The 26,839-nt window shown below is 53.0% G+C and overlaps 1 protein-coding gene across 3 annotated transcripts, besides 14 other annotated features; it reads right to left on the bottom strand.

The window, feature by feature from the left end:
• TYRO3 (TYRO3 protein tyrosine kinase) lies at positions 1,659 to 26,036 on the bottom strand. Of its 3 annotated transcripts, none has more exons than NM_006293.4 (19): positions 25,867 to 26,036; positions 23,938 to 24,121; positions 23,609 to 23,709; positions 22,530 to 22,700; positions 20,978 to 21,064; positions 20,107 to 20,222; positions 17,711 to 17,888; positions 16,886 to 17,031; positions 16,226 to 16,370; positions 15,092 to 15,221; positions 14,908 to 15,008; positions 14,549 to 14,644; positions 14,130 to 14,210; positions 13,561 to 13,653; positions 12,684 to 12,805; positions 12,137 to 12,246; positions 11,781 to 11,940; positions 11,433 to 11,569; positions 1,659 to 7,362 (listed from the first exon to the last, which is right to left on the bottom strand). In NM_006293.4, exons 1-19 carry the CDS (start codon positions 25,988 to 25,990, stop codon positions 6,972 to 6,974), a joined length of 2,673 nt encoding a protein of 890 aa, NP_006284.2. In that variant the 5' UTR covers positions 25,991 to 26,036; the 3' UTR covers positions 1,659 to 6,971. The 3 variants fall into 3 exon arrangements, with proteins under 3 accessions (NP_006284.2, NP_001317193.1, XP_016878032.1); NM_001330264.2 differs by lacking the exon at positions 25,867 to 26,036 and adding an exon at positions 24,952 to 25,276; XM_017022543.3 differs by lacking the exon at positions 1,659 to 7,362 and adding an exon at positions 8,983 to 11,050.
• Positions 15,283 to 15,789: an enhancer, noted in NCBI's record as "NANOG-H3K27ac-H3K4me1 hESC enhancer chr15:41861657-41862163 (GRCh37/hg19 assembly coordinates)". NCBI's record gives its function as "activates a minimal SCP1, AML or CMV promoter by ChIP-STARR-seq in primed H9 embryonic stem cells {active_cell/tissue: H9 hESC(primed)}" and the evidence as "EXISTENCE:reporter gene assay evidence [ECO:0000049][PMID:30033119]".
• Positions 16,298 to 16,803: an enhancer, noted in NCBI's record as "NANOG-H3K27ac-H3K4me1 hESC enhancer chr15:41860643-41861148 (GRCh37/hg19 assembly coordinates)". NCBI's record gives its function as "activates a minimal SCP1, AML or CMV promoter by ChIP-STARR-seq in naive H9 embryonic stem cells {active_cell/tissue: H9 hESC(naive)}" and the evidence as "EXISTENCE:reporter gene assay evidence [ECO:0000049][PMID:30033119]".
• Positions 16,804 to 17,311: an enhancer, noted in NCBI's record as "NANOG-H3K27ac-H3K4me1 hESC enhancer chr15:41860135-41860642 (GRCh37/hg19 assembly coordinates)". NCBI's record gives its function as "activates a minimal SCP1, AML or CMV promoter by ChIP-STARR-seq in primed H9 embryonic stem cells {active_cell/tissue: H9 hESC(primed)}" and the evidence as "EXISTENCE:reporter gene assay evidence [ECO:0000049][PMID:30033119]".
• Positions 20,125 to 20,811: an enhancer, noted in NCBI's record as "H3K27ac-H3K4me1 hESC enhancer chr15:41856635-41857321 (GRCh37/hg19 assembly coordinates)". NCBI's record gives its function as "activates a minimal SCP1, AML or CMV promoter by ChIP-STARR-seq in naive H9 embryonic stem cells {active_cell/tissue: H9 hESC(naive)}" and the evidence as "EXISTENCE:reporter gene assay evidence [ECO:0000049][PMID:30033119]".
• Positions 22,188 to 22,875: an enhancer, noted in NCBI's record as "H3K27ac-H3K4me1 hESC enhancer chr15:41854571-41855258 (GRCh37/hg19 assembly coordinates)". NCBI's record gives its function as "activates a minimal SCP1, AML or CMV promoter by ChIP-STARR-seq in naive H9 embryonic stem cells {active_cell/tissue: H9 hESC(naive)}" and the evidence as "EXISTENCE:reporter gene assay evidence [ECO:0000049][PMID:30033119]".
• Positions 24,908 to 25,549: an enhancer, noted in NCBI's record as "H3K4me1 hESC enhancer chr15:41851897-41852538 (GRCh37/hg19 assembly coordinates)". NCBI's record gives its function as "activates a minimal SCP1, AML or CMV promoter by ChIP-STARR-seq in naive H9 embryonic stem cells {active_cell/tissue: H9 hESC(naive)}" and the evidence as "EXISTENCE:reporter gene assay evidence [ECO:0000049][PMID:30033119]".
• Positions 24,908 to 25,621: a biological region, named in NCBI's record as "H3K4me1 hESC enhancer GRCh37_chr15:41851897-41852538".
• Positions 25,421 to 25,621: a silencer, noted in NCBI's record as "fragment chr15:41851825-41852025 (GRCh37/hg19 assembly coordinates)". NCBI's record gives its function as "represses an EF-1alpha promoter that drives an FKBP-Casp9 reporter gene in an ReSE screen in phorbol 12-myristate 13-acetate-treated (for megakaryocytic differentiation) K562 erythroleukemia cells {active_cell/tissue: K562(+PMA)}" and the evidence as "EXISTENCE:reporter gene assay evidence [ECO:0000049][PMID:32094911]".
• Positions 25,928 to 26,097: a silencer, noted in NCBI's record as "silent region_6365". NCBI's record gives its function as "represses an Ori minimal core promoter by ATAC-STARR-seq in GM12878 lymphoblastoid cells {active_cell/tissue: GM12878}" and the evidence as "EXISTENCE:reporter gene assay evidence [ECO:0000049][PMID:35858748]".
• Positions 26,108 to 26,247: a silencer, noted in NCBI's record as "silent region_6364". NCBI's record gives its function as "represses an Ori minimal core promoter by ATAC-STARR-seq in GM12878 lymphoblastoid cells {active_cell/tissue: GM12878}" and the evidence as "EXISTENCE:reporter gene assay evidence [ECO:0000049][PMID:35858748]".
• Positions 26,108 to 26,617: a biological region, named in NCBI's record as "H3K27ac hESC enhancer GRCh37_chr15:41850829-41851330".
• Positions 26,116 to 26,617: an enhancer, noted in NCBI's record as "H3K27ac hESC enhancer chr15:41850829-41851330 (GRCh37/hg19 assembly coordinates)". NCBI's record gives its function as "activates a minimal SCP1, AML or CMV promoter by ChIP-STARR-seq in primed H9 embryonic stem cells {active_cell/tissue: H9 hESC(primed)}" and the evidence as "EXISTENCE:reporter gene assay evidence [ECO:0000049][PMID:30033119]".
• Positions 26,186 to 26,352: a silencer, noted in NCBI's record as "fragment chr15:41851094-41851260 (GRCh37/hg19 assembly coordinates)". NCBI's record gives its function as "represses an EF-1alpha promoter that drives an FKBP-Casp9 reporter gene in an ReSE screen in K562 erythroleukemia cells {active_cell/tissue: K562}" and the evidence as "EXISTENCE:reporter gene assay evidence [ECO:0000049][PMID:32094911]".
• Positions 26,298 to 26,387: a silencer, noted in NCBI's record as "silent region_6363". NCBI's record gives its function as "represses an Ori minimal core promoter by ATAC-STARR-seq in GM12878 lymphoblastoid cells {active_cell/tissue: GM12878}" and the evidence as "EXISTENCE:reporter gene assay evidence [ECO:0000049][PMID:35858748]".

Below are 26,839 nucleotides of genomic sequence, written 5' to 3'. Positions count from 1 at the left end.
CCCGTGGGTAGAAATGCCTGGGGCACAGCTGCGTATCCCACCAGGTGCTTCTGGGCTCGCTCGAGCTAAGTCCAGGCACAGCCTTCTGATTTGGGGCTTGTGGGGTTTTAGAGGACCAAATGTAAAATTATTTTCTGCCTTTTAATGATCCAGAGGCTTCCCCAACCTGTCTGTGGCTTAGGGAGGGCCCAAAAGGCTTCTCTCCTTTGCTCTTGCTCTACCCTGGGGAAAAACTGAGGAATTTGGAGAAAAGGGGAGGAGTGTTCTCTAAGATTTACTGAACTTTGGCCAATTGTCAGGAACTCTTCTAGGCCCTTAGATACTTTTAGTTAATTCTAAAAAGGTCTCGTGAAGTAAATATTACCAGTGTTTTCCCCTGTGCGCCCTAGGCACGCACTCAATACTCTCACCAACCACCAAATCGCCAGTTATAAATTTTACTAGACCCCTCCTTTCCCTTACCCCCACACCCAATTAATGAATATTCATTGAGTGCCTACGAAGTGCGAAAGCGCTGAGGATACCATAATAAAAAAGACAGGTCCCTGTGTGCACACAACTTATATGGAGAGGAAAGGGAAGGGGGAGAGATAATTTTTTTTTCTTTTTTTTTTTATGGAGTCTCGCTCTGCAGGCCAGGCTGGAGTGCAGCGGCTCAGTCTCAGCTCACCGCAAGCTTCCCCTCCCGGGTTCACGCAATTCTCCTGTCTCAGCCTCCCCAGTAGCTGGGATTACAGGCGCCTGCCACCACGCCCGGCTAATTTTTTGTATTTTTAGTAGAGACGGGGTTTCACTGTGTTAGCCGGGATGGTCTCAATCTCCTGACCTCGTGATCCGCCCGCCTCGGCCTCCCAAAGTGCTGGGATTACAGGCGTGAGCCACCGCGCCAGGCCTTTTTTTTTTTTTTTTTTTTGTGAGACAGAGTCTTGCTCTGTCACCCAGGCTGGAGTGCAGTGGCACAATCTCAGCTCCCTGCAACCTCCGCCTCCCAGGTTCAAGCGATTCTCCTGTCTCAGCCTCCAGAGTAGCTGGGATTACAGGCGCATGACACCATGTCCGACTAATTTTGTATTTTTAGTTGAGATGGGGTTTCACCATGTTGGTCAGGCTGGTTTTGAACTCCTGACCTCAAGTGATCCACCCACCTCGGCCTCTCGAGATAATTATAATTACAAAACAGGAAGGAGAACCCTGAAGACAAATTCCACAGGTGTTGGGGGCAGCGGCTTCATAACCAAAGGAGTGCTGACCTGGTCTTCGTCAGGAAGGTTTGCACAGCTGTTGCAATACTCTGGGTGAGAGAGGAGGCCTCAGGATGCTGATAGCTGGGGAGGGACCCATGCAAAAGCAATAGGAGAGTGGAGTTAACAGGACTTAGAGACAGAAAAGTCTATCCAGACTACTCCCCGCTATCCTCTGGTCCTCAAAACCTCTCAGCTACCCCTACCTTCCCACTCTGGGGCAGTGGAAAGATGGAGGAATTACGTAGATCCCTGGGTTTTCATCCCAATTGTGCCCCTCACCCCTTGCTTTGTGACACCATGAACAAATCATTCTTCTCTAAAGCCTTGGGAGACCTGTATTCCTTTCATGCCATGCCTTGACATAGTGTTCCTCAGACCTTGGGAGAACGTTGCAAAAAAAATGTACCACGAACATATAGGAAAACATTATACATTTATAGTAATTCAATTAGTGTAGCAGTGACACTGGCACATGTAATTGGGATGAACAGTCTAGCAACCAAAATAGATATGGGAGTTTAGATAGATCAATGAGGCTATATAGAGAAATGGAGACAGATTATTCAAGAAATTCTGGCTGGGTGTGGTGGCTCACACCTGTAATCTCCGCACTTTGAGAGGCCAAGGTGGGCAGATCGCTTCAGCCCAGAGTTCAAGACCAGCCTGGGCAACAAAGCAAGACTCCATCTCTACAACACTTAAAAACTGGGCCGGGCGCGGTGGCTGAAGCCTGTAATCCCAGCACTTTGGGAGGCTGAGGCGGGCAGATCACGAGGTCAGGAGATCGAGACCATCCTGGCTAACATGGTGAAACCCTGTCTCTACTAAAAATACAAAAAATTAGCATGTTGTGGTGGCACGTGCCTGTAGTCCCAGCTAATTGGGAGTGTGAGGCAGGAGGAGACTCGCTTGAACTGAGAGGCGGAGGTTGCAGTGAGCCGAGATCACACCACTGCACTCCAGCCTGGGCGACAGAGCAAGGCTCTGTATTAAAAAAAAAAAAAAACACTTAAAAATTTGCCAGGTGCAGTGGCGTGTGCCTGTGGTCCCAGCTATTCAGGACGCTGAGGTGGGAGAATCAGTTTACTATCACTTTACTCCAGCCCAGGCAGAAACAGAGCAAGACCCTGTATCAAAAAAAAGAAAAAAAAAAGAAATGTGCATAAAATATAGATTGTTCAATAAATGGTGGTATTGGGACAATAAAAAGTATCTGGGAAAAATAACTTTGAATCTCTGTATCACTTCTTATTCAACAATAAATTTGAGATAAATCAACATGAAATACTGAAAAATAAACTATATTATTATTATTTTCTTTTTTGAGATGGAGTCTCACTCTTGTCCAGGCTGGAGTGCCATGGCACAATCTCGTCTCACAGCAACTTCCACCTCCCAGGTTCAAGCAATTCTCCTACCTCAGCCTCCCAAGTAGCTGGGATTACAGGCACCCACCAGCACGCCCAGCTAATTTTTTTTTTTTCCGAGATGGAGTCTCACTCTCTCACCCAAGCTGGAATGTAGTGGCTCACTGCAACCTCCCCCTCCCAGGTTCAAGTGATTCTCCTGCCTCAGCCTCCCGAGTAGCTAGGATTACACGTGCCTGCCACCATACCTGGCTAATTTTGTGTATTTTTAGTAAAGACAGGGTTTAGTAAAGACAGGGTTTCACCCTGTTAGCCAGGCTGGTCTCAAACTCCTGACCTTGTGATCCGCCCGCCTCGGCCTCCCAAAGCGCTGGGATTACGGGTGTGAGCCACCATGCCCGGCCATTCTTGCCTCTTTGAGACTCACTTTTCAAAACTGCTGTTGTTAGATGATCCTTATAAACATGTTGCTGAGGGAAAGAAGCCAAACGCAAAGTAATCAAATCTACATGACTCCATTTATATACTTTTAAAAGGAGCTTCACTGATCCATGGTGTTAAGAGGTCAGGATAGAGGTTACCTATGGGGAGTAGGGAGGAGGCAGAGATTGAGGCAGGTCCCAAGGGTTGCTTCTGGGTTGCTGTTAATGCTGTTTCTTAATCTGGATGCTGGTTCTTTGGATCTGTTTGTGAAAATCCTTTTTGATCCAGAGTCTCTCTCTTTTTTTTTTTGAGACAGAAAATCCCAAAGCGCTGGGATTATAGGCGTGAGCCACCATGCCTGGCCTCTTTTTTTTTTTTTTTTTTTTGAGATGGAGTCTCGCTCTGTCACCCAGGCTGGAGTGCACTGGTGCCATCTCAGTTCACTGCAACCTCCGCCTCCAGGGTTCAAGTGATTCTCCTGCCTTAGCCTCCCAAGTAGCTGGGATTACAGGTGCCTGCCACCACTCCTGGCTAGTTTTTGTATTTTTTAGTAGAGATGGGGTTTCACCATGTTGGCCAGGCTGGTCTTGAACCCCTGACCTCAGGTGATCCACCCGCCTCAGCCTCACAAAGTGCTGGGATTACAGGCATCAGCCACCGCCCCCAACCGATAGTGAAGGTCTTTTCAATCAATAATTCCCAGATGTTATCTCACAGGTAATCACTACCTGCAGTGAAAGCTAATCACAGCAGGAAAGATTCTGAAAGCTACTTGCCTGGAAGTTTTTCAGGTTTCATGATCTACATGGGAACCAGAATTTGGAGTACCAGCAACAGGTTTTTCAGGATATTTGCTTTCAGAAGCAGCCACCCTATTCCCCTGCCCTCAGCCAGAAGCAGCACAATACCTGTGGGCCCTCCCAGTCTCCCCACACTCCTCACTAGCACATGTGTGGTTCCTGCGCCTCCTGCTGCATCTCCCATGAACTTGCTCTAAAAGCTTTTTTGTTGTTTTGTTTTGTTTCTGAGACAGTCTTAATCTGTCACCCAGGCCGAAGTTTAGTGGCAAGATCTCAGCTTACTGCAACCTCCTCCTCCCAGGTTTAAGTGATTCTCATGCCTCAGTCACCCAGTAGCTGAGATGACAAACCTGCGCCACCAAGCCTGGCTAAACTTTTTTGAATTTTTAGTTGAGATGGGGTTTCATGTTGCCCAGGCTGGTCTCGAACTCCCGGCCTGAAGTGATCCACCCGCCTCAGCCTCCCAAAGTGCTGGGATTACAAGCTGGGTATGGTGTCTCACCCCTGTTATCACAGCACTTTGGGAGGCTAAGGCAGGCAGATCACTTGAAATCAGGAGTTCGAGACCAGCCTGGCCAACATGGCGAAACCCTGTCTCTACAAAAAAATACAAAAAATAGCCGGACACAGTGGCTCGTGCCTGTAGTCCCAACTACTCGGGAAGCCAAGACAAGAGACTTGATTAAACCTGGGAGACAGAGGTTACAGTGAGCCGAGATCACACCACTGCACTCTAGCCTGGGCGACAGAGAGAGACTCGAGACTCCGTCTCAAAAAAAAAAAAAAATACACGCCACTGTGCCCAGCTGAATATTTGCATTTTCAAAAGATCAATGGTGATTATCTCTAGGTGGTGGGAGTATAGGTAACTGGCACCTTTTATTATTTTTTGCATTTTTATTTTTATTTTATTTTTGAGATGGAGTCTCGCCTGTCACCTAGGCTGCCGGGATCTCGACTCACTGCAACCTCCGCCTCCTGAGTTCAAGCAATTCTCCTGCCTCAGTGTCCTGAGTAGCTGGGATTACAGACACGCGCCACCATGCCCAGCTAATTTTTGTATTTTTAGTAAAGACGGGGTGTCACCATGTTGGTCAGACTAGTCTTGAACTTCTGACCTCGTGATCCACACACCCAGGTCTCCCAAAGTGCTGGGATTACAGGCGTGAGCCACTGCGCCCAGCCGATTTTTTGCATTTTTCTAACTGCCCACGGTGACTCTGTATTATCTTCAGTATAATAAGATTCATTGGGATCCTGTATCTAATTACAAAAGCATTTTGTGCTCAATGCAGAAAACTTGGAAAGCACAAAGAAGAACGTCCCCTTAACCCCATCATTTAAAGGTAACAGCTGTTGCCAGGTGCGGTGGCTCACGCCTGTAATCCCAACACTTTGGGAGGCTGAGGCAGGCGGATCACGAGGTCAGGAGATTGAGATCATCCTGGCTAATACGGTGAAACCCTATCTCTACTAAAAATACAAAAAATTAGCCGGGCGTGGTGGCAGGCACCTGTAGTCCCAGCTACTCGGGAGGCTGAGGCAGGAGAATGGCGTGAACCTGGGAGGCAGAGCTTGCAGTGAGCTCAGATCGCGCAATTGCACTCCAGCCTGGGCGACAGAGTGAGACTCGGTCTCAAAAAAAAAAAAAAAAAGATAACAGCTGTTAACATTTTGGCATATGTCTTTCCAGACTTTTCTCTCTATAAAAATCTTTCATCTTTGTGATCTCAAAAAAAGTAAACATTTAAGAGACAAAGCTGGGGCCAGGTGTGGTGGCTCAGGACTGTAATCCCAGCACTTTGGGAGGCCAAGGCAGGCAGATCACTTGAGGTCATGAGTTCAAGACCACCCTGGCCAACATGGCGAAACCACATCTCTACTAAAAATACAAAAATTACCTGGGCATGGTAGTGAGCCCCTGTAATCCCAGCTACTCTGGTGACTGAGGCACAAGAATCGCTTGAACCCAGGAGGCAGAGGTTGCAGTGAACCAAGATCACACCATGCACTCCAGCCTGGGCAACACAGTGAGACTGTCTCAAAAAAAAAGAAAAAAAAAAAGAGACAAAACCTTAGGTCTTTAGTCTTCAATTTTATTTCTATTTTAAACAGCAACTAACAGCTTGGAAATGTCCCTAACAGCTAGGACCCGCCCCATGCATTCCAGAGGCTCCCCCACCAAGGCTGGGGTCCAGGTTCCAGGAATTCCCCCTCATCAGGCCTGATTTCTCTCTGGAGACTTGGGACAGAAGAGGCTGTCCAGTTAGAGGGGAAGTTGGCACTAAAGGTCACCGTTTAGAAGGGTTGGGCTCAGACACAGCTGCCTTTGTTAGTCTTAGGATATTTTGAGATTTGGTAGCGTGCTCAGATTGTGGGTATGGAGAAGGGTTCCTGAACTCCTCTCCGGCCTCACTTGCTCCTGGGCAAGCCTCACAGCACCCCTTCCTCTTGCTGGCTCGGCACGCTGCCTTTGGAAGAGGGGCACCTGATAGGCTGGGTACTCCAGCATGCCTTTGTGTGACCCGGTCAGCTGCAGGGAAGCATGCTCCCCTCAACTTCTCCTGGCGTAGGCAGGGTGCGGAATCAGAAAGATGGTGAAGATTCAGACCTGAGATACCAACCCCTTACCAACCCTCACCTAAAAGGGAATATTACAAGGACATCTCTTTGTGACTTGGAGGGGCACACCTGGATATTTAAACCCCAAGTGTGGTAATAGCTGGGCCACCAGGCTGGAGGCAGCTCAATGCATGCACTTAAGCAGCAGGGGCAGCTCAGCAGGAGGGTAGGGCCCACAGAGCTGGACCTGCCCTCCCCACACTGCCATCCACACCCATGGTAACCATGGAAACATAACCACCCCACTCCTGCCAGCTGCCTGGGTTCAGACAACCAGGACTGGCCCACTTCCATCAAGCCAAGGCCTAAACTGATGCCAGGCTGGCCACAGAGTGGTTGCAGGAAGAACTGGGATTGGGTGATTTGGTCAGTCCGGGCTTCCCAGCACAGCTTGGGAGGACTACCACAGGAGCCTCCACACCTTGCTGTCTGGGCTGGGGTCAGACGGGGCTTAGTCAGCCAGCTCAGTGGCCACCAGAGCCGGCCAAATGGCCCCGATGCCCTCTGCCTGTGGGCTAACAGCTACTGTGTGGCAGTAGCCCTTGCTGCAGCAGCAAAAGCCTCTGTGTCTCATTGAGGGGACTCTCTGGCTGGTGCTCTGCCTGCCCTGGCTGCTCAGCCAGCCCTCCGGGGGTGAGTATGTACCGACAGTCACTGGGAGTGCCACCCACTGCCCCCATGCCACTGCCATCCCCAGCCCCACTGTAGGGCTGATCCCTGCCAGGTAGCTCCAGGCTGCCTCCCGCAGTGGGCTCCTCAGCTCTCTCGATGTTGATGTATAAGGGGTCCTGGCTGGCAGATAGCACAGACAGCTGGCCCAAGATGTTCTCCAGTTCCATTCGCAGACAAGTAAAGCTCGGGCGCTGCTTGGGGTCAGCACTCCAGCACTGGTACATGAGATCATACCTGGGGTGGAGAGAAGCGTGAGAAAAGGCAGGAGCCCTTCCCTCAAAAGCAGGGGCCCCTTCATCATATGGCACTAGGGTTTTAAAAAATTTTATTCCCTGGTGGGGCACAGCGGCTCGCATCTGTAATCTCAACACTTTGGGAGGCCGAAGGGGGGTATTATTTGAGCCCAGGAGTTCGAGACCAGCCTGGGCAATATGGCAAAACCCTGTCTCTATAATAATACAAAAATTAGCCAGGCTTGGTAGACACGCCTGTAGTCCCAGCTACTCGGAAGGCTGAGGTGGGATCACCTTGGGAGGCCAAGGCAGGCAGATCACCTGAGGTCAGGAGTTCGAGACCAGCCTGACCAACATGGAGAAACCCCATCTCTACTAAAAATACAAAAAAAAATTAGCCCAGCATGGTGGCACATTCCTGTAATCCCAGCTACTTGGGAGGCTGAGGCAGGAGAATCGCTTGAACCCAGGAGGTGGAGGTTGCGGTGAGCCGAGATTGCACAATTGAACTCCAGCCTGGGCAACAAGAGTGAAATTCCATCTCAAAATAAATAAACAAACAAATAAATTAATTAAATTAAATAAATAAAAAATATATTTGTAGAGACAGGGTCTTGCTATGTTGCTCAGGCTGGTCTCAAACTCCTGGCCTCTAGTGATCCTCCCACCACAGCTTCCTGAGTAGCTGGGATTACAGGCACATCCTAGCTTATTATTTCTCACAACAACCCTATGAAAGCAATGATCAAATAGAAATCATTTCCACATTTACAAATGTGGAAACATGCACAAAGAGGTTAAGAACCGTGACTAAAGTCACACACGTGGAAAGTGACAGAGCTGTGATTTGAAGCGAGGGGGTTGACTCCGAAGTCCCTCCTGTGCTGAGTGGGCAGTACCTACTCAGTAATTCCTCACCGTGCAGCCGGACACAGTGGTATGCACCTGTAGTCCCAGCTACTCAGGAGGCTGAGGCTAAAAGATCCTTTGACCCCAGGAGTTCGAGACTAGTCTGGACAACATAGCGAGACCATGTCTCTATTAAAAAAAAAAATTAATAAGCAAGGTATGGTGGTAAGTACCTGTAATCCCAGCTACTAGGGAGGCTGGGCAGAAGATCTCTTGAACCCAGGGGTTTGATGCTACAGTGAGCTGTGATTGCATTACTGCACTCCAGCCTGGCTGTCAGAGCGAGGCCCTTTCTCTTTTTTTTTTTTAAAAAAAAAAAAAAAAAAAAAAAAGGAAACCTACTGAATCAGGCCAGGTGCAGTAGCTCATGCCTGTAATCCCAGCACTTTGGGAGGCCGAAGCAGGTGGATCACTTGAGGTCAGGAGTTCGAGTCCAGCCTGGCCAACATGATGAAACCCCGTGTCTACTAAAAAATACAAAAATTGGTTGGGCAAGGTGGCACACACCTGTCATCCCAGCCCTTTGGGAGGCCAAGGTGGGCAGATCACCTGAGGTCGGGAGTTTGAGACCAGCCTGATCAACATGGAGAAACCCCGTCTCTACTAAAAATACAAAATTAGCTGGGCAGGGTGGTGCATGCCTGTAATCCCAGCTACTCAGGAGACTGAGGCACGAGAATCGCTTGAATCCAGGAGGTGGAAGTTGTGGTGAGCCAAGATTGTGCCATTGCACTCCAGCCTGGGCGACAAGAGCAAAACTCCATTTCAAAAAAAAGAAAAAGTCCTCACTATTCATATATAACTTTTGAGTATCTGGAAAAAGCTTCCAGCTCTCCTGCCAACAGGAATTAATTTTTTTTTTTTTTTTTTTTTGAGATGGAGTTTTGCTCTTGTTGCCCAGGCTGGAGTGCAATGGTGTGATCTCGGGTCACCAGAACCTCTGCCTCCCGGGTTCAAGTGATTCTCCTGCCTCAGCTTCCCAAGTAGCTGGCATTACAGGCATGCGCCACCACGCCCAGCTAATTTTGTATTTTTAATAGAGGCGGGGTTTCTCTATGTTGGTCAGGCTGGTCTGGAACTCCCGACCTCAGGAGATCCGCCTCCCAAAGCGCTGGGATTACGGGCGTGAGCCACCGTCCCCTGCCAGGAATGCTTTTTTACATACAATTTCAGGAACCTTATAAATTCCCTGAAGCCTATCACTCAGGATGCCCAAGGAATGCCTCAGGCTCAGGTGGAAAAATAACAAACCAAAAACCTAATGGAAAGACGCTGAGACCAAGTCCAATGAATGCAAATGCCTGACTCTCTTGCCTATGCCCATGACAAGAGCCCCAAGCACTGCCTCACACACCAGCACACCCCCAGCAGGGGCCACCAGTAATGGCAGTAATCATGCCAGACACTGAACAGGTCGTGGGAATGGGAATGGTCTGGGGCCGTGGGTACATGGCCAGACTGGGACACGTCCTCAAGGCTGTGCTAGGAGCCAACTGGCGCCTGTCCACCAGGCTGCCTGGGTGAGGCCAGTGCCTGCCCACTCTCCATTGACAGCACCAGCTCCAGCTGGGGAGGAGGCTGCGCTGGGGTCTGGTCCCCACTGCCCTTCAGAGCTTCTACAGCGCCAGATTAGAACTGAAGCAGGCTGCAGCCACAGGGAGATGTGAGCTTCCTGCCCCTTGCCATGCCCTGAGCTCTGCTGAATGAACAGGAGGGCCAGGGCCTGGCTTGTCTACTCAAGATTTCCCTCTCAGGTGTAGGTGAGTTACCCACAGCCCAGGCTCAGGGCACTTCAAACCCACTGTCCAAGGGAAGGACCCCACCATCAGGCTGAGCCTTCCTGTGCCTGTCCATGACCTCGGCCCTCTGGAAGTCCAATCCCAGAGCAAGAAATGGAGCAGATTCTTTCTCTGGTCACAGTGGCTCCCACTCCCCCTGGGGCTCATGAAAGGTCCTCTGGGCTGGGCGTGGTGGCTCACACCTGTAATCCCAGCATTTTGGGAGGCCAAGGCAGATGGATCCCTTGAGCCCAGGAGCGCAAGACCAGCTTGACAAATATGGCGGAGCCCTGTCTCTACAAAAATACAAAAATTAGCCGAGTGTGGTGGCACGTGCCTGTAGTCCCAGCTACTTGGAAGGCTGGGGAGGGAGGATCACTTGAGCCCAGGAGGTTGAGGCTGCAGTAAGCAGAGATCACGCCACTGCACTCCAGCCTGGGTGACAAAGCGAGACCCTGTCTCAAAAAACAAAACAAAAAATACTCACAAAAGGTTGTCTGAAGGCCTAGGGAGCCCTTGGCTTGGATGGAGTGGGAGTGTAAGACTAGAACAGACAAATCACAGTTGTTGTCATAAAGAGTTAAGAGTATATATTCTAAAACTACAGGGATCTAGGTTCAAATTCCAACTTATTCACTTACTAGCTCTGTGACGTTGGCCATGTTACTTAATCTCTCTAATCCTATTTTCTCATCTACAAAGTGGGGATAAATAATAGTCTTTTCCTCATAAGGTCAGAGGAAGATTACCTGAAAGAATGCCTAAATGCCCAGCTAATGTCAGTGACACTTCCCATTATCTTGTCACAGGGTCTGTTATCACTGTAGCAAAGTGGGTGGTATCATTGCCTGCCCAGTCCCGAGGGCTTTGGGCTTGCAGAAAGAAGAGGAGGCAGTTCCCTTCTTCCCAGGATCTCAGTTCTTTATCTTAGATTCCCAAGAGAGCTCAGCCTAGGAAGTTTTCTTAGACTAGCTGGGGTCTCCAGGACAAAGGTTGTATTCACTAGGGTAGAACAAATAAAATAAAATAAATACAAATTAAAAAAAGAAAAGGAATGACGGGTGGGAAGATGGCAGGGAAACCTCCCACACTGTTACTCAGCACTGTGCCTTCTGCTCTTGGGGTTCCTGGTTCTCCTTACAAACTGGAGAAAAGAGACTGATAGACAAAGGCTAAAGCAAGAAATCTGGGATGGGAAAGGGGGAAAGAAAGAAAACAGGGAGGTGGTAGATGAACAGTGAGTATGAGGTGGAGTGCAGCCTTCCAACTACAAGGATGTTTCTATCAAAAAACAAAGGTCCAGTTGAGGCAACTGTGGTGGCAGCCATCAGCCAAAACTCCAGATTCCCCTTTCCTTCCAGAGCCCCCTTCCCAGGATACTCACACGTCCTCCATACACTCCGGAGGCTGTTTCAGGCGGTTCCCGCCAATGAGGTAGTTGTAAATCTCAGCGTTTTCGATGCCAGCATATGGCGTCTGCCCACGTGTCATGATCTCCCACATGGTCACCCCGAACGCCCACTGGGACAGAATCGAGGTTGGGGGAGAAGCTGTCACTAGGTGTCCTGAGCCAGGCAGAGAGCCATGGCTCTGAGACAAGCACAACCTGGGGCTCAGGGCCTCATCAGGGGGCAACCAAACCCCAGAGAGCAGACTTGGCTAGGCCCTTAAGGATCCTAAAGGTCTGCTCTCACACTCGTCCCCACCAAGCTTCACGGGCCACCCTGCTCACCACGTCACTCTGCACAGTATACAGGTTGTCGGCCAGGCTCTCCAGGGCCAGCCACTTGACAGGCAGTTTGGAGGCACAGCCTTGACGATAGTAGTCCCCACTGTAGATCTTCCGGGAGAGTCCGAAGTCAGCCACACACACTGTCATGTCCTCTGCCAGCCTACAAGGGGCATTGAGGGAGAGAGTCAGCCTTCTGCCATGCTCACAGGCCCACAAGAGCCAGGACATCTTTGCATCTTTGCTCCCAAGCTACCCCCATGCATAGCAGATACTGTCCCAGGCAGGAGCCGACCATCAGCTAGCTCCTCTTGGCACCTGCTGCTGTCTCCCACCCTCGAGTCCTCCAGAATTCGTACATGCAATTCCGAGCAGCCAGGTCTCGGTGGATGAAGTTCCGAGAGCTCAGGTACTCCATGCCGCAGGCAATGTCCACCATGAACCGGATCAGGGTCTGGAGGGGTAGGTTCTAGTGGACAGACAGGCCAAGCTCAGGCTTAACCTGCCCACCCAGCTGGGGCAGGATGGATGGGGGTCCCTGGCCAGAAAGCCTGAAGGCTGTCCCCAGAATCACTGGAAGGAAGGAAGGGGATGGAGGGCCTTCCCAAGGCAAGGAAGCTTCGGCTAGCCTAAGAGGGAGCCTGGAAGACGAGACTCCCCCACCCTGGGGCTCCACAAGTCCCTCCCTCTAGAAAGGGCCCTTGCCCAGCCTATATTTCTCAGCAGGGTTTTGTGAGAGAAAAGAAAGCCTGCTAGATTAAAAGGATTCAAACTCAGACCCCTCCTACTCCCACCCAGCTCCATCAGCCCTACCCAGCAAGCCCCTCTCTGCCAGGGTCTCTATGCCTTTCCAGGCCCTGTGTTCCCACCCGTTTCCTCCTGGCCACCCCCACACCAGGTACTCACAAAGGGGTTCTCCCCAATCCGGGAGGCGAGCAGGAAGGCATGCAGGTCCCCATGCTTCATGAAGGGCAAGATGACCATGGGGATGGGGAGACGGCCTTTAGCCCTGCTCCGGAGGCTTACCCCTGGGACAAGGGAGAGTCAGGAGCTGAGCATAGAAGGGTCAAGGGGCAGTTCAGGTGTCTGCATAAGTCCCCACCTGCTGGGTCCCATCTCTAGCTCTGGCTCTGCTATTTATTTTTTATTTTTTCACAGGCTCCACACTGGTCTGGGGACTACCCAGGAGGGACTCTGGCTGCTCCCATATCCCTGGAGCATCTTCTGTCCCCTTCCTTTCCTTCTCTGTCCACACAAGCAGTCTTTGTTTTTTCTGAAACAGTATCTTGCTCTGTCATCTAGGCTGGAGTGCAGTGGCGCAATCACAGCTCACTGCAGCCTCAATGTTCTGGGCTCAAATGATCCTCCCACCTCAGCCTCCCGGGTAGCTGGACAAAGGTGCACACCACCACACCTAGCTAATTTTTGTATACGTGTGTGTGTGTGTATGTTTTTTGTTTTGTTTTTTTTTTTTAAATAGAGGTGGGCTGTTGCTATACTGCCCAGGCTAGTCTCAAACCCCTGGCCTCAAGCAATTCTCCCACCTCAGCCTCCCAAAGTGCTGAGGTTATAGGCATGAGCCACCACATCCAGCCACACAGTCTTCATGTGCAGACCTTTGGCACTCCTCACCTCAGATTTCTGCCAGGACCCTCCTTGCTATTTTGCCATCTATTTATTTACCAGATGAGTCCAAAAGTCTCTCCTATAGGCTGCCATCTCATATTGGTAGAGCATATTTTTAGCCCTATTCTCTATCTGCCTCCCCCAAAAATGGGCTCACCAACAAGTTTGGCCACGTGTGGATGGTCAAACTCCTTCATGCAAGCTGCTTCCCTGAGGAACTCTTCAATGTCGCTTGAGGCAATGATGTCAGCTAGGAGAAGGGGATGGGGAAGGAGGAAATAAAACAAGATGTGCCCCTAGTTTTGACCCAGGCCTCCTAGGTCTTGTCCTTCAGATGTCCTAGGCTTCCCAGGGAGCCCAGGAAACAGCCCAGCCATGAGCAGGAGAAACCCCCAAGGAGTGGTGATACTTAGCAACTTCTCCACTTGCTAATGCCTTCCCTTCCCTTTGGTTTGGGCAGCCCAGCAGGTCAACCAACCACAGCTGTAATCACCCAAGAGGGGACTCAGAGGACAGTCACTGCCGATGGCAGAGAGCAATGGCTGGGCATGAATATGTATGTTTGGGTTTATGCTTGTGAATTATTCGTGTGGTAAAGAGCATCCCAGTTAGTGCTGCCCAGCTCTTCTTGGAAAATCTAGGGGCAAAGCAGAGCCTGCTTCAGGGTCAGTCGCCCCTCTTACCCTTCCAAGTGATGCCCTCAGGCTACAGCTATCCCCCACTCACCTTTCAGCATCTTCACAGCCACTTTCACAAAGGAGCCATCCTCTTGCTTCAGCTGGGCCTCCCGCACTGAACCAAACTCTCCTAGGAACCAATCCAAGTAAGGGAGAGTCTCCTTGGCTCTCTGCTCCCTGCCAACCTTCCTCCCAAGTGACCCTCCATGGGAACACAGTCAGCAGACTCTGGGGCCAGTGGAGAAGGCACCCTTGCCAGTAGCCAAAGCAAGAGCATGCTGGGAGCAGCTCCTCAGCCCTCCCTGTCTCCAGCCACCATTCCCCACAAACATCCCACACTCAGGAGTCTACAAGCATATCTTGTTTACGGCAACCGACCCAAACCCACAGCCTCAAAGTGACAGGGGCAACCAAACACTTCCAGCTACAGCAAACCAGCCATGCCCATCCCCACACAGCCTCACATACCTTTGCCCAACATCCGGCCCAGGGTGAACTGCTGCTCTGGGATGAGCACATCCTCCAGTTTTTCCTTTAGTTCATCGCTGATGCCCAAGCTGTCCACTGTGGGGAAAGGGTTTGTGGGAAAGAGGGATCTCTGATTCCTGAGCCAAAACCCAGCCTCTTATACCCCAGACTCTGCCCTCAGAGCATAGAGATGAGCTTAGGTCTCCCACGGCTGGGGTGGTGAACTCCACACAGGCAGATTTGTGTGCCTGGGGCTCACTGATGTTCAGACATATCAGTCAAATTAATAATTTGGTAAAAGAATGCAGATGGGGCACAAGACAGCCCATTTGTCCTTCCCACGATCACCCACCACTCACATGTGGCCTCGATGCGCTCGGGCCTTTCTCGATTGAAGGACCGGGCTGCCCGGAAGTGAACGGCTGGCTCTCCCCGGGCCATGACACTGTCAAAGGCTTGCCTAAAGGAAAACCCAGGATTTGGGGTCAGCTCCAAGGTCTTTCATCATTACCTGCCTCTCCCTCCACATCCCCATCCCCTTACCCAAACCGCGTCTCTTTCCGTCTCTTTCGAAGCAGGATGAGGGCCAGGGCAGCAGCCGTCACCAGGGCCGTTAGCACACCAAGGACCACAGGTACCCAGGATGTGCGGCTGTGAGGAGGGCCCTGCTGGCCTGTGGGAGGGAGGTGCAGTGGCATGAGCTAGGATGACACCATGAGGTCCCTTCAGAACTTTCCCAGGATGGCCATCCAGCTGGTTCAAGGGGCTCCTCTAGGTCAATAAGGGTCCTGAGGGAAAGGGGCTCCAGAGGAATGCCTAAGAGTCCTTCCTACCTGGTCAGAGACAGGCCCTGGCTGTTGTGACCTAGAGGGTGACCATGGATTTCTATGCCAGTTCTGGGGCAGAGAGAGGAGAATGAGATATAGTTTGTTTGAGACACAGTCTTGTTCTGTTGCCCAGGCCAGAGTGCAGGGGCACAGTTGCAGCTCACTGCAGCCTCAACCTCCTGGGCTCAAGCAATCCTTCCACTTCAGCCTCCCAAGTAGCTGGGACTACAGGTGTGCAACATCACACCTGACTAATTTTTAAATTTTTTTGGTAAAGTCTCACTTTGCTGCCCAAGGTGGTCTCAAACTCCTAGACTCAAGCAATCCTTCCACCTCAGCCTCCCAAAGTTGTGGGATTATAGGTGTGAACCACCACTCCTGGCCTTATTTGTTTGTTTCTTTAGAGACAACAGACTCACTCTGTTGCCCAGGCTGGAGTGCAGTGGTGCAATCATAGCTCACTGCAGCCTCAAACACCTGGGCTCAAGCAATCCTCCTGCCTCAGCCTCTGGAGCAGCTGGGCTTAACAGGCATATGTCACTACACCAGGCTAATTGTTTTTTTTTTTTTTTTTTAATTTTTTTGTAGAGACAGAGTCTTGCTATGTTGCCAGAGCTGGTCTCAAACTGCCGGCCTCAAGCGATCCCTCAACCTCCCAAAATGTTGGGATTACAGGCATGAGCCACCATGCCCAGCCAAGATAGTTTAAACAGCCCTGGCCTCAACTTCTTCACTCTGTCTGTGGGTCTACTAGGAGGGGAGATGCTACTAGGCTCCTCCCATCAGTCTAGGTTGCCCTTGAAAACCTTGATCCCCTGAGCCTCTGCCCCTCTCCACCTACAAGCCTCACCTGCACGGTCATGAGAAGAGACCACCAGTGGCTGACTCCAGGGTCCACAGCCAACTGCATTGGAGACGCACACACGTACGATCAGGTCCTTTTGGGGATCCCAGCCTGTCAAATTGGCCCTGGTCCCCTCCACTGTCAGCTCATCCTGCAGCCAGGAAAAGCCCCCACCCCATAGTGAGCCTGGGGAGAAGGCCTCCAGCTGGGGCCTGAGGACAGAAAAAGGTCCAGCTGGGAACATGGGAGTATAGGGGCACTGTGGGTTCAGGGGCTGCAGGAACACAACCTTCTGGGAGTAATCACATTCCTGTTCCCGGCTGCAGGGGCCTCTCCAGAACACAAACAAGGCTCAGTCCCGGAATGCACAGGTGGGGGATGGGAGCGAACTGAGCTGGGGACAAAGCCTTATCTGTGCCCTCCCCCAGCTCAAGCAGGAATGTGCTTCCTGCTTTATTTACAAAGTGCACACAGGATGCAACCCTAACAGGAGACATAATCCTTTGAGAAGTGGAGCTTGCAGAGGAGGGTGAGGAGGAAAGGATTCCCTGGGGCTGCGGGAGACCCAGGCCCACCAAAGACAATCATTTTGAAATTCTTAAAGGCCTTAGAACCCTGAAGGCTTATACTCCAGGAGAGTGGAGAGAGGGGAGGGTTCTGTCTTACCTGGGTTCCATTGTCTTGAACCCAGGACAGTTTGTAGGGTCCCAGGGGGCCTTCCAAAGGGGCCTCGGGGATCACTTCTTCCCACTCCAAGATGAGGCCTGAATCTGTGCGGATGGCATGGAGGTTTTGGGGAGCGCTGGCTGGGGCTGCAGCCAAAGAGAGAAGATTGCTAAGACCCCTGCCCTTCCCACCATCATAATTCCATGCAGACCTTTGGAATCAACTCCCAAGAACTAAACAGCTCTGAGAGGCACAAACTGGGGAAGGGTTCACCTCCCAGCTCTGACTGCTCTCACCCACTGTGCTGGGGGAGGGGTAAGCAATGGGCAGGACAGGCAGCACCCCAGCTCGGCAGTGTTGCTCTTCATCACCATGGTTACTGCCTTTCTGCCTCACCCCTTACCACTCCCCTCTCACAGCTATGCCAGCCTCTTTGCAATTGCCAAGCAAGTTCCTGTCATAGGGTCTTTGCACTTGCTGTGCCTTCTTCCGGCAGTGATTTTCCCCCAGATATTTACATGGCTTCTTCTTTATCGTTCAGATCCCAGATCCTTCAGATCTTTATCCTTCAGACCTTTTTAGGGGGGGTTTCCTTAACCACCTGGGGACACTCTTTATCAACCACATTATCTGATCTTTTCCAGTTTGCTTATCTGTTCCACCTACAAGAACTACTTACAAGGTGGTATGTAGTTATATGCAGTAAATGTTTGCCGAATGATGCCTGAACCTCCATCTCTACCAGCACCATTCAGAACTCCAGCCAACACGGCCCCCTTCCCGGCTCCAGCCCTGCCCACCCGCTCTGCTCTATGCATCCCTTACCTAGACCCTTGGTCTGAAAGGGCACCCAGTCAGCATAGGGAGAGGGCCCCAAGGCATTGGCACAGCGCACCCTGAGGCTGTAGTTGGTGGCAGGCACCAGGTCCCGGAGCAGGCAGGTAAAGGGGGGCACAGGGACCACAACAGCCAGGACTTCCCAGCCTCCTGGGGCCTGTGTCACCTACAGAAAAGCAGAAAACTAATGATGTAGGGGAGAGCCTGTGAGAGATGGAAGATGGGATGGGTATAGTTATGGGTGCTTGAATGAATGCTTCCTCTATCAGCAAACACTTGCAACCCACGCCCTCCCATCTGCCCCCACCCCAATAATACACAGGGTTCCACATCTTCATACCTTTGCAAATGCTGTTCCTTTCACTTGGAATGACCTGCTCTTCCTAGCAAAGGCCTACTCATCCTTTAAGACTCAGTGCAAATATCACTTTCTTGGTGAAAGCCTTTCTCAACCACTCCAGAAAACTCTTGTCCTTTTGTACTTGGTACGAAACTCTTAGGGTATACTTACCACTTACTGTGCCTGTTTACATGCCACTCCAAAGTTCTAGAGCTTCTGAAGCTCAGAGAAAACTGGGAGCCTAGGGCACTATGAACCAGCCCTTCATCTTACATTTTGGGGGCCCAGGGCAAGAGTACAAAGAGATCCACGTACTATATGTCTAAATATTTAAACATTATAAATCAGCTAACAAACTATTAAATAGTTTCTCTCTTAATATTTTGACCAATAAACCTTCAAAACAACCTGGGAGATCAGGTTTGCATTTGTAACTCTCCAAATCCCTGGAGTCCCGAGTCAGAATGAGGAGGCACTGGAAGAGCTGGCCTGAAGCCAAGGTCTGCACCATGAGGGGCCTCATGTGCACAGGCGTGGACAATGCTGACTGCATATCCAAGCTCCATTCCCATCCCCCTCACGAATGGCTGCCCCTTGGGCTTAGAGGTGGTCATATCACACTGCGGTCCATCCTTGGGAAGATGGAACAGGGAAAAGGCCCACACAGACCCCAGAAGCAGACTCAGAACCATTAGGGCAAGAGATCCTGAATAGCTATAGTATAGTGTGGCAGTGAGGGGGTCCTTGCCATCTGGATGGGCATATCCTCTTGGCCCTGTAGGCTCTTTGCCCCGGGGAAAGGGGTGTGGCCAAAGGAGGGCCAGAGTAGGATCCTCTTTTTTTTTTTTTTTTTTTTTTTTTTTTTAATAGAGACAGGATCTTGCCCTGTCACTCACTCAGGCTGGAGTGCAGTGGCATGATCTCGGCTCACCGCAGGCTTGACTTCTCAGGCTCAAGTCATCCTCCCACTCTAGCCTCCTGAATAGTTAGAAGTACAGGCGCATGCCACTGTGCCTGGATAATTTTTGTATTTTTTGTAGAGAAAGGGTTTTGCCATGTTGCCCAGGCTGGTCTTGAACCCCCAGGCTCAAGCAATCCTCCCGTCTCCACCTCCCAAAGTGCTGGGATTACAGGCATAAGCCACTGTGCCCAACCTCAGTAGGGTTCTCTAAATGGTGGAGCCCAGAGCAGGGGCCCCTCCTGCCCAGGGGAACTGCCCAGAACAGTTTTGAAAGGTACTCATTAAATGGCCTTTGAGTAAACGGATGAAAATGAGCAAGCCTGCATTGCCTCTTGTTTTTAGTATCACCTTACACAGTTTTTCCACTCTCCAAGGCTTAGGGCCCCTTCTGGTCATCTTGTTCTCTTTGGCTTGAGTGGGGGTTGGGGGGTAAGGTGGAGCATGATAGGGTGAGTATCAGCAAAGGTTTGAGCTTTCACCTAAGTAAGAAAAACTCGTCTGGGTGTGCTGGTTCATGCCTGTAATACCAGCACTTTGGGAGGCTGAGGCAGGTAGATCACTTGAAGTCAGGAGTTTGAGATCAGGCTGGCTAATATGGTGAACTACTAGTCTCTACTAAAAATACAAAAAAAAAAAAAAAAAGTTAGCTGGGCGTGGTGGTGCATGACTGTAATCCTAATCCTAGCTGCTGGGGAGGCTGAGGCAGGAGAATCACTTGAACCCAGGAGGTGGAGGTTGCAGTGAGCCGAGATGGCACCACTGCACTCCAGCCTGGCCAACAGTGAGACCCTGTCTCAAAAAAAAAAAGAAAGAAAGAAAAACCTTCCAGGTACCCCAAATCTGTTCTAGTGATCTGCTTTCCAACCTTATGAATGCATGAGTTTGAGCCAATCTGCAAAGTCACTTAGTTGCCAGAGCACCCCATGATAAGAGACAGTGGCCTGTGTTCTTCCTGCTAAGGAGCAGAGCCTGAAAAGAGCTGCAGACCAAGCCCCCAGGAGCTGGCTAGTGAGTGTGATATCCCTGTCAACAAAGTGCTGGCCATGCAGCCAGAACGAGCATGGCCCGGCCCGGAGAGCCTACCTGAACTGTACAGGACTGTAGCAGAGCTCGGCCATCAGCACCTGGCATCCAGGCCACACTAGCGTTGCTGCTGGAAAGCTTTGTCACGGTGATGTTGAAGGGGGCTGCAGGCAGTGCTGTGGACGGGGACTCAGAATCAGTGCCCAGTAGGGATATGAGCAGAGGCAGCAGGAGGCATGGGAGTCAAGCCTTGAGTCTCTCTGAGGGTCCAGGGCATCCCCAACCTAAAGACGGCTACTCAGCACTCCCAGGATCACAGTAGTACACAAATAAGCAACCAGTAGGGCACAGCTGCTCACACCTGGGAGAGTGCCTGGGCTGTGGAGAGAGGTTGCCTCTCCCTGCCACGAAGGCCCTGTGTAACTGAGGAATAAGATGAGAGGGTATGTGGGGGCAGCACCTCAGGCTTGGGAGATACAAGGGAGAGACAGGCAGCTGCCCCTGCAGCCACAGCCTGGCTCCTGCAGACACCCTCTCCCTCCCCCTCTCTCTGTACACCAGCCCTCTGGTCTCCTCCATCCGGTACTAGGCTGTTTTCCCCACCCCCATCCCCTCAAAGGGAGGGGCAGAAACAAGGCTGGGCATGGGCCTTGACCATCTCCTGCTGCCTCCCTCCCTCCTTCCCTCCCTCCCAAGGACTCTGCTTCGTGATGGGAAATCTGCTGTGACGTCAGGATTCTATTCTCATCTCAGCCACGCAGGGTCTCAGGTGCTCCCACTAGGAATGGGAGCTATGCCAATTAACCCCTTGCTCCCTAGATCCCAGCAGGACCACAAGGGGAGCTGGAACACAGAATGATTCTAACTGCTGGACAGCTCGCTGGGAATGCCCCTGGCCTCATCCACCCTTCCTCCCTGCCAGCCCTCCTACCTTGAAGGTGAACAGTGGCTGTGCGAGAAGAGGCCAGGCCTTTTAGGTTGTGAGCTTCACAGGAAAACATGGTGCTCTGGGTCACCCCTGGGGCCAGAAAACCTCAGTCAGCTCCCCAAGCAGCAACCCCACTCAGTGCGGGACTGGGAAAGGGGAATACTCAGGCTCTGGTCTGAACATCCTTAAATCCCTCCTGCCAAAGGAAGGGGCTGGGCAGTGAGGTACGGTGAAATGAACAGGGACACTAGAGTCTGGTGAGCCTGGAGAGGGCTCTGTTTTCTCATCTCTCAAATGGGAGAATTGTGAGAATCAGGTAATGTGTGTCAAGTGCACGGCATGCTAAATAAGCCCTTGAGAAACGTTATACCACCCTCCCACCTCCATCCCATCTCCCACACACAGCACAAATTGCCCCCCTTTTCTGGTCACTCTTTTATTGCGCATACCAGAGTGAGCCCTTCTGTTTGCTCTGTGCCCCCTTGGGGTTGTTATTTGCAGACTCTCTGCCTTGCAGTAGTTCTCAGCTCTTTATGCACATGTCTTGTCTCCCCAGTTATACTCAGTTCTTTAGCTTCTATTTCCTTTGTATTCCCTCTGTCCCCTGTGGTGCCTAGCACAGTGTGGTGTGGAGTAGGAGTTCAGTGAGTGCTTATTATCAGGCTGCCTGCCTGAGGGTCCCAACCACGCACACCTGGAAGGAAGTGAACCCAACCTCCTCTCTAATCTGCTCCAACTCAGCGCCTCCTGAACAGGACCTGCACTTGCTTCCAAGAGGTCTCATAGTCCACCTCTTGTCAAGATTCAAATTGCTGGAGAACCTAGCTCAGCGCCCATTTCCCTGGCACCTTCCAGCACATGAGACCAAGCTCAGACTCCCATCTTTTTTGCCCAATTCAAGCCTCAACCAGAAACAAATAAGCAAGCCTTTGTTTCACAAATAAGCAAGCCTTACAAGCATGTGAGGGTATGTGCCCAAGAAACTTGGGGCCCAGGTGGGTGTGCAGGTGTGACTGTGCAGAGGTATGGACAGACACAGTTGTTTGAGAAAACGTGTGGAGGTTTCCCGGAAAGCGCCATTAGGGGAGGAGGCCCTGTATCTTTGTGCTAACCTCCCCCTACCCCTTCTCTCTCCCTCCTCTCCCCTCTCTGCAGCCTGAGAGTCTTGTCTTCTCAGTGTCTGCCAGATACTCCTCCCTAGTTCTGCGTGGGCTGGTTTCTGGCTCCTTTCCTTGGGAGGGGTGGGGGATGGGTGCCCCTGGTCTCATACAATTCATCTCTGAGGGCCAGCTGTGCATGGCCTGGACTGCTGTGAACCAAAGGTGGCCCCACACCCTCCTTAAGCACACACAGCAGGATCACCACTAATCAGCCCACCCAGCCAGCCTAGCACACCTGACTAATGAGCTTAGTAATGGTGCAGCTCACGTCCCCAGACACTGGGGCTTGCTCTGGACGCTCACAACCGCAAGCTCAGTGGCTGAAACTGCCAGCTTCAGTGCCCTCCAGGACCCAGCTCCTTCTCCACTCCCAGCCCCCTTCTGAGGCTGCTCACCTGTTACATTTAAAACAGATGGAGAGGGAGCGGGTCCCCCGATCTTCGTAGTTCCTCTCCACCAGACAATGGTAACAGGTTCAGGGGGACCCACAGCCTCACAAGACAGTTGGAAAGGGGCATTGGGTGGCACTGCCAGATCTTTTGGCTCCACTGTGAAAAATGGCACACCTAGGAGAGAAGGGGAGTGAGGAGTGAGCCCTGCCACCTCTTGGCTTCCTACTGTACAAATCACAAGTCTGTTTACATCTGAAGTCCTCCACGCAGAAGGTTCCCACAGGCCCCTTATGATTAGGTCAACAGCAGAACAGGCATCTAGCTTGAGAGGTAGGCGGTGCTTCTCTTTTTCAGGCTCCTTAGGAATTTTTTTTTTTTTTTTTTTTTTTTGAGATTGGTCGCGGGGAGGTCTCTCTATGTTGCCCAGGCTGGCCTGGAACTCCTGGGGGCTCAAGTGATCCTCTGGCCTTAGCCTCCGGAGTAGCTGGGACTACAGGCACACGCCACCATGCCTGGCACCTTAGACACATCTTCCATGCTGCCCCCTTAGGCATGGCAGATTTGGACAGCTCTTCTTGCAGTAAGAGAGGAGACTGGGGGTGGAGAGCTGGGAGAGGGGCATAAAACTCAGGGGAGTGGGTGAGAGCTTTAGCAGAGTTCTGCTGCCAGGCCCCAGCTCCCATTCAGGGCCCTTTGTTACTTTCTTAGTCACTTTGTTTTCCTGGGCTGAACAGCTCTGAGCTCCCGCAGCTGCAGAGCCTTCCTCCCCTCCCCCTGCTGGCCAGGCCACTTGGCAGAACAGGGTCCAGTCCCAGATGGATGCTTGAAGCTTGTTGCTCAAGCAACGGAAACAGACTGCACCCCACAGGTTGTGGATCCCAGTTGGTCCCTTGGTTCTCAGATACCCAACTCCAACTGGTAGGGTCTTCCGACATCTGGAGTGGGCCTACAGCCTGGACAACCAGGCCCCACAGAGCAGTGGGGCAGCCCAGCTTCTACTGAGTTCTCCGCTGCAGAGGTATAGTCACCAGCAGACAGCACGTGCTCCAGGCCAACACGCCCATATGGCTCTGCCTCCTCACCTTCTACCGTGAGCCACACTGGCTGGGAGATCTCGGTTTCACCCCCATCCTCCACCTGGCACCAGTACCGGCCGGCGTCAGAGCGCTCCACTGACTTCAGGCTGTGGAAACAGGATACGAGGCTTGCTTCCGAGGGCAAGGGCGGCAGCTCTGCTGGGCAAACTTGATGAGTTCAGCCTGCCCCCACTTCTGGAAGGTCCCACAGGTAGCCAAATAAAAAAACCACAGACCTCTGGGCATCAGGAGAGGGCCCCAGCTCCCAATCCCCAAGGAAAGAGCATAGCCTGCCCCCTGGCTGGCAGCCCACACCTTCCCCCACAGGCCTGCACCTGAGGAAGCCGATCCAGTGCTGCTCGCTGACTGGGATGTACAACTGGTCCAAGTTCTGGACCACAGCCCCATCCTTCACCCACTGGATGTCAGGCTCCTCCATCCCCTCCACACTGCAGTTGAGCTTCACCGGCTGCCCCTGAGACACTGTCAGCTTCACCGGGGCTCCCATGAGCTTCAGACCTGAGGGGTGGGAAGGAACATGTGTCAGCCTTGAGAGGGACTCTGTCTCTGTAAACAGTTCCCATTCTCTTCTAGAAGGTAGCTTCTGTGTCAGACAGAGGGCTCTTTCTCAGCCAAAGTCAAGGAAGCAGAGGTAGGACAGTGTGGAAGGGAAGGTCGCTGGACCTGGGCGAAGGGAAGGGGCATGGCAAGCTCTCCAAGTTCCCTCCGGCTCTAAGGACCTCTTCCCCATGTCCTCCTTCTGAGCCCAGACAGCAAAAGGAAGGCAGGCTGGGCTGAAACGATGGGAGTTACCCTACTGGGGCAGGCACTGCTCTAGGAATGACTGCTGCACCCAACTAGTGCAACAGGCTGCCAGCTCTCCACCCAAGGTGTCAGCCCAGACCCTGAATTGCTGCCAGCACCCTCTGCACCCAACCTTACCAAATGGAGCAGGGCTGAAGAAGGAAAGGAGGGGGTGCTCCCCTGAAGTGGAGAACATATGGCTGCAAAACCACGTCAGATCAAACACATGGCAGCCTTCCTGGCAGCCATCCACTCTATTAATACCTGAATGTGGGCAGGGGCGAGTGCTAGGAAGGTGGGAGGCAGAAGGGAGGGCTGGGGCCCTGAGCAGGGAGCCTAAGACCCCTGAGCCACTGCCACATTAACAGGGGCCACTCTTTGGAACTTGCGTGCGAGCGCGCGCGCGCGCGCGCACACACACACACACACACACACACACACACACACATACACGCACCTCTCCTGGCCTCCTGGCATGTTTTTAAGCAGAGAGAGGGGCAGGTCAAGTATCCACATAACTGAAATCCAGCCCTGCTTCTTCTCACCCTTTGCTGTGTGACTCTAGGCAAAGTCGTGGGCTCCCTGAGCATCAGGTCCGCACCTTTCGGCTTGTAAATACTCGTCACCCCGTTTCCCTTCCCTTCCCTGAGAGGCTGATATGGCAAGGAATGCTGTCTCAAGAGAAGATGCCAGCGGGTGGCCGCTGTCCTGGCCTGTGGCTCTTCCCTGCTCCCTTCACCCTCTCAGGACCAGTCACAGGATGGGGGCCAGCCTCCCGCTCCCTATATGCCCATCAGTCCCCGAGGTGCGGGGTGGGAACTTGGAGAGCACCGTGCTGCATGGAACGCTCTTGTCACCAGCAAATGCCTCAGTGGCTATGTGGGAACACAAGACTAACCCCTCCCAAAGACCAGCAACCTGGCACCAGCCCATCCTCTCCAAGGTTCTGCTTTCAGGAAGCTCTGAGGGCACAGGAACTCGAGTGTGCCCATTTGTTTTTTGTGACTGGGCACCCTCACAGCCCCTGTGTACCTAAATGGTATCAGGGTGGCCTTTGGGTGCCCAGCCCCGGCCCGTGTGGTTTCCGAGGCGGACCTTCGCGTGCGGGGCAGGCAGAATGGGGTCCCCAGTACTGGGAAGGAGGGAGCTAACAGCTGGGAACATCGAGGCGGGAAAATGCAGTCCCAAACACTCCCCGCTGACCACACAGCCCACACCCCGCTCCCTTCTCTTCCACCCCGCCAGAAGAGCCCCGAGCGCCAGAAAGTTGGGGGTGGGGGCCCGGCCGGAGATCTGGCGGCGAGCACTCCGCAGCGTGCCCTGTCCCGGCTCCGAGCCTCGGCCTTCGGCTCCGGACCCCCACCCCGACTCCAGCCCGCCAGGCCCGCCCCGGGCTCCGACCCCCGGCCGCGCCCCTCCGCAGCCCCCCGCTTCCCGCCGCCTCCCGTGCCAGCCCCTACCTGCGGCGGCGGACTCCGGGAGCAGCAGAGAAGCCAGAGCCGCCAGCAGCAGCCCGAGCCGCGGTGGCGGCGGCAGCGGCAGCGGCGGGAGCCCCGGCCGCCCCATGCTCCGCCTCAGCGCCATCGGCGGCGACGCCGCACCATGCCGGGCCCGGCCCGCGAGCGAGGAGGGAGGAGGGCGGGGAGGAGGCGGCGGGAAGGGAGCGGGAGGGAGGAGGGCTGCGGGAGGGGCTGGGGCCGCCCGTGGGGCGGTGCTGAGGCGACCGCCTCCGAGACCCGCGCCCGCCTCCGGCCGCGGTCGCCGCCGTCAGCAGCGCGGGGTCCCCGGGGCCGCTCCCGCGCCACCGCGCTCCTTCCACTGCCGTCGCCGCCGTCGCCGCCGCTGATTCATGTTCTTCTCGGAGCCGCCGCCTCCTCCCGGCCCGCCCGCAGCCCGAGCTCGCACCGCCCCCCCGCGGAGCCCCGGCGACTGGCTCGGAGCGCGAATCCCAGCCAGCGCCGCAAACCCCCGCGGCCCCGCCGGCGCCCCGCCGGCACGCCGGCCCCAGCCGCCCCCTGGCCAAACCTGAGGATCCGGCTTGGCCTCCAGGATGGGCTCCCCGGCCACGCCCCTCCTTTCCCTAAACCCGCTCCGGCATCTTTTCTAACCCAGCCCTCCAGAGCCTTCCCTCAAAACCCCGCTGTCAGCCCCCACCACACCCCAACTCTTGTTCGGACTCTGATCCCAGAATCCAGCATCCCCCTCTCAGGACTTAGAGCACCTCAACCCCTAGACACTCCCATCCATCTGGCTCCCCGAAACTGCCGTGACCCGGGGCTCCCCCAACAGGATCGGCTAGCATCCCTTCGTGCCTCCCTTTCATTGAGCCATTCACCCAAAATCCCCATATTCATGTCCTATTGCCATGCCTTTATCTCCAAGTCCCTCCCACCTGAAAAATGCCCATTTTCTCCAGCCCCAATTGCCGTATGT

The sequence above is a fragment of the Homo sapiens genome, chromosome 15 (genome assembly GCF_000001405.40).
Source record: "Homo sapiens chromosome 15, GRCh38.p14 Primary Assembly".
Taxonomy (NCBI): Eukaryota; Metazoa; Chordata; class Mammalia; order Primates; family Hominidae; genus Homo; species Homo sapiens.
The sequence above is the reverse complement of the archived record's forward strand: the minus strand, read 5'-3'. Positions and strand labels throughout refer to the sequence as shown.

What these genes read in the sequence shown, in the direction of transcription:
- TYRO3 (NM_006293.4), bottom strand. Translation starts at nt 25,990, where the DNA reads ATGGCGCTGAGGCGGAGCATGGGGCGGCCGGGGCTCCCGCCGCTGCCG. An exon ending in GGGCCGGATGTTGGGCAAAG is followed by an intron (nt 14,211 to 14,548) that starts GTATGTGAGGCT and finishes ATTGGTTCCTAG; the next exon opens with GAGAGTTTGGTTCAGTGCGG. An exon ending in GGATTGGGGAGAACCCCTTT is followed by an intron (nt 12,247 to 12,683) that starts GTGAGTACCTGG and finishes TCTGTCCACTAG; the next exon opens with AACCTACCCCTCCAGACCCT.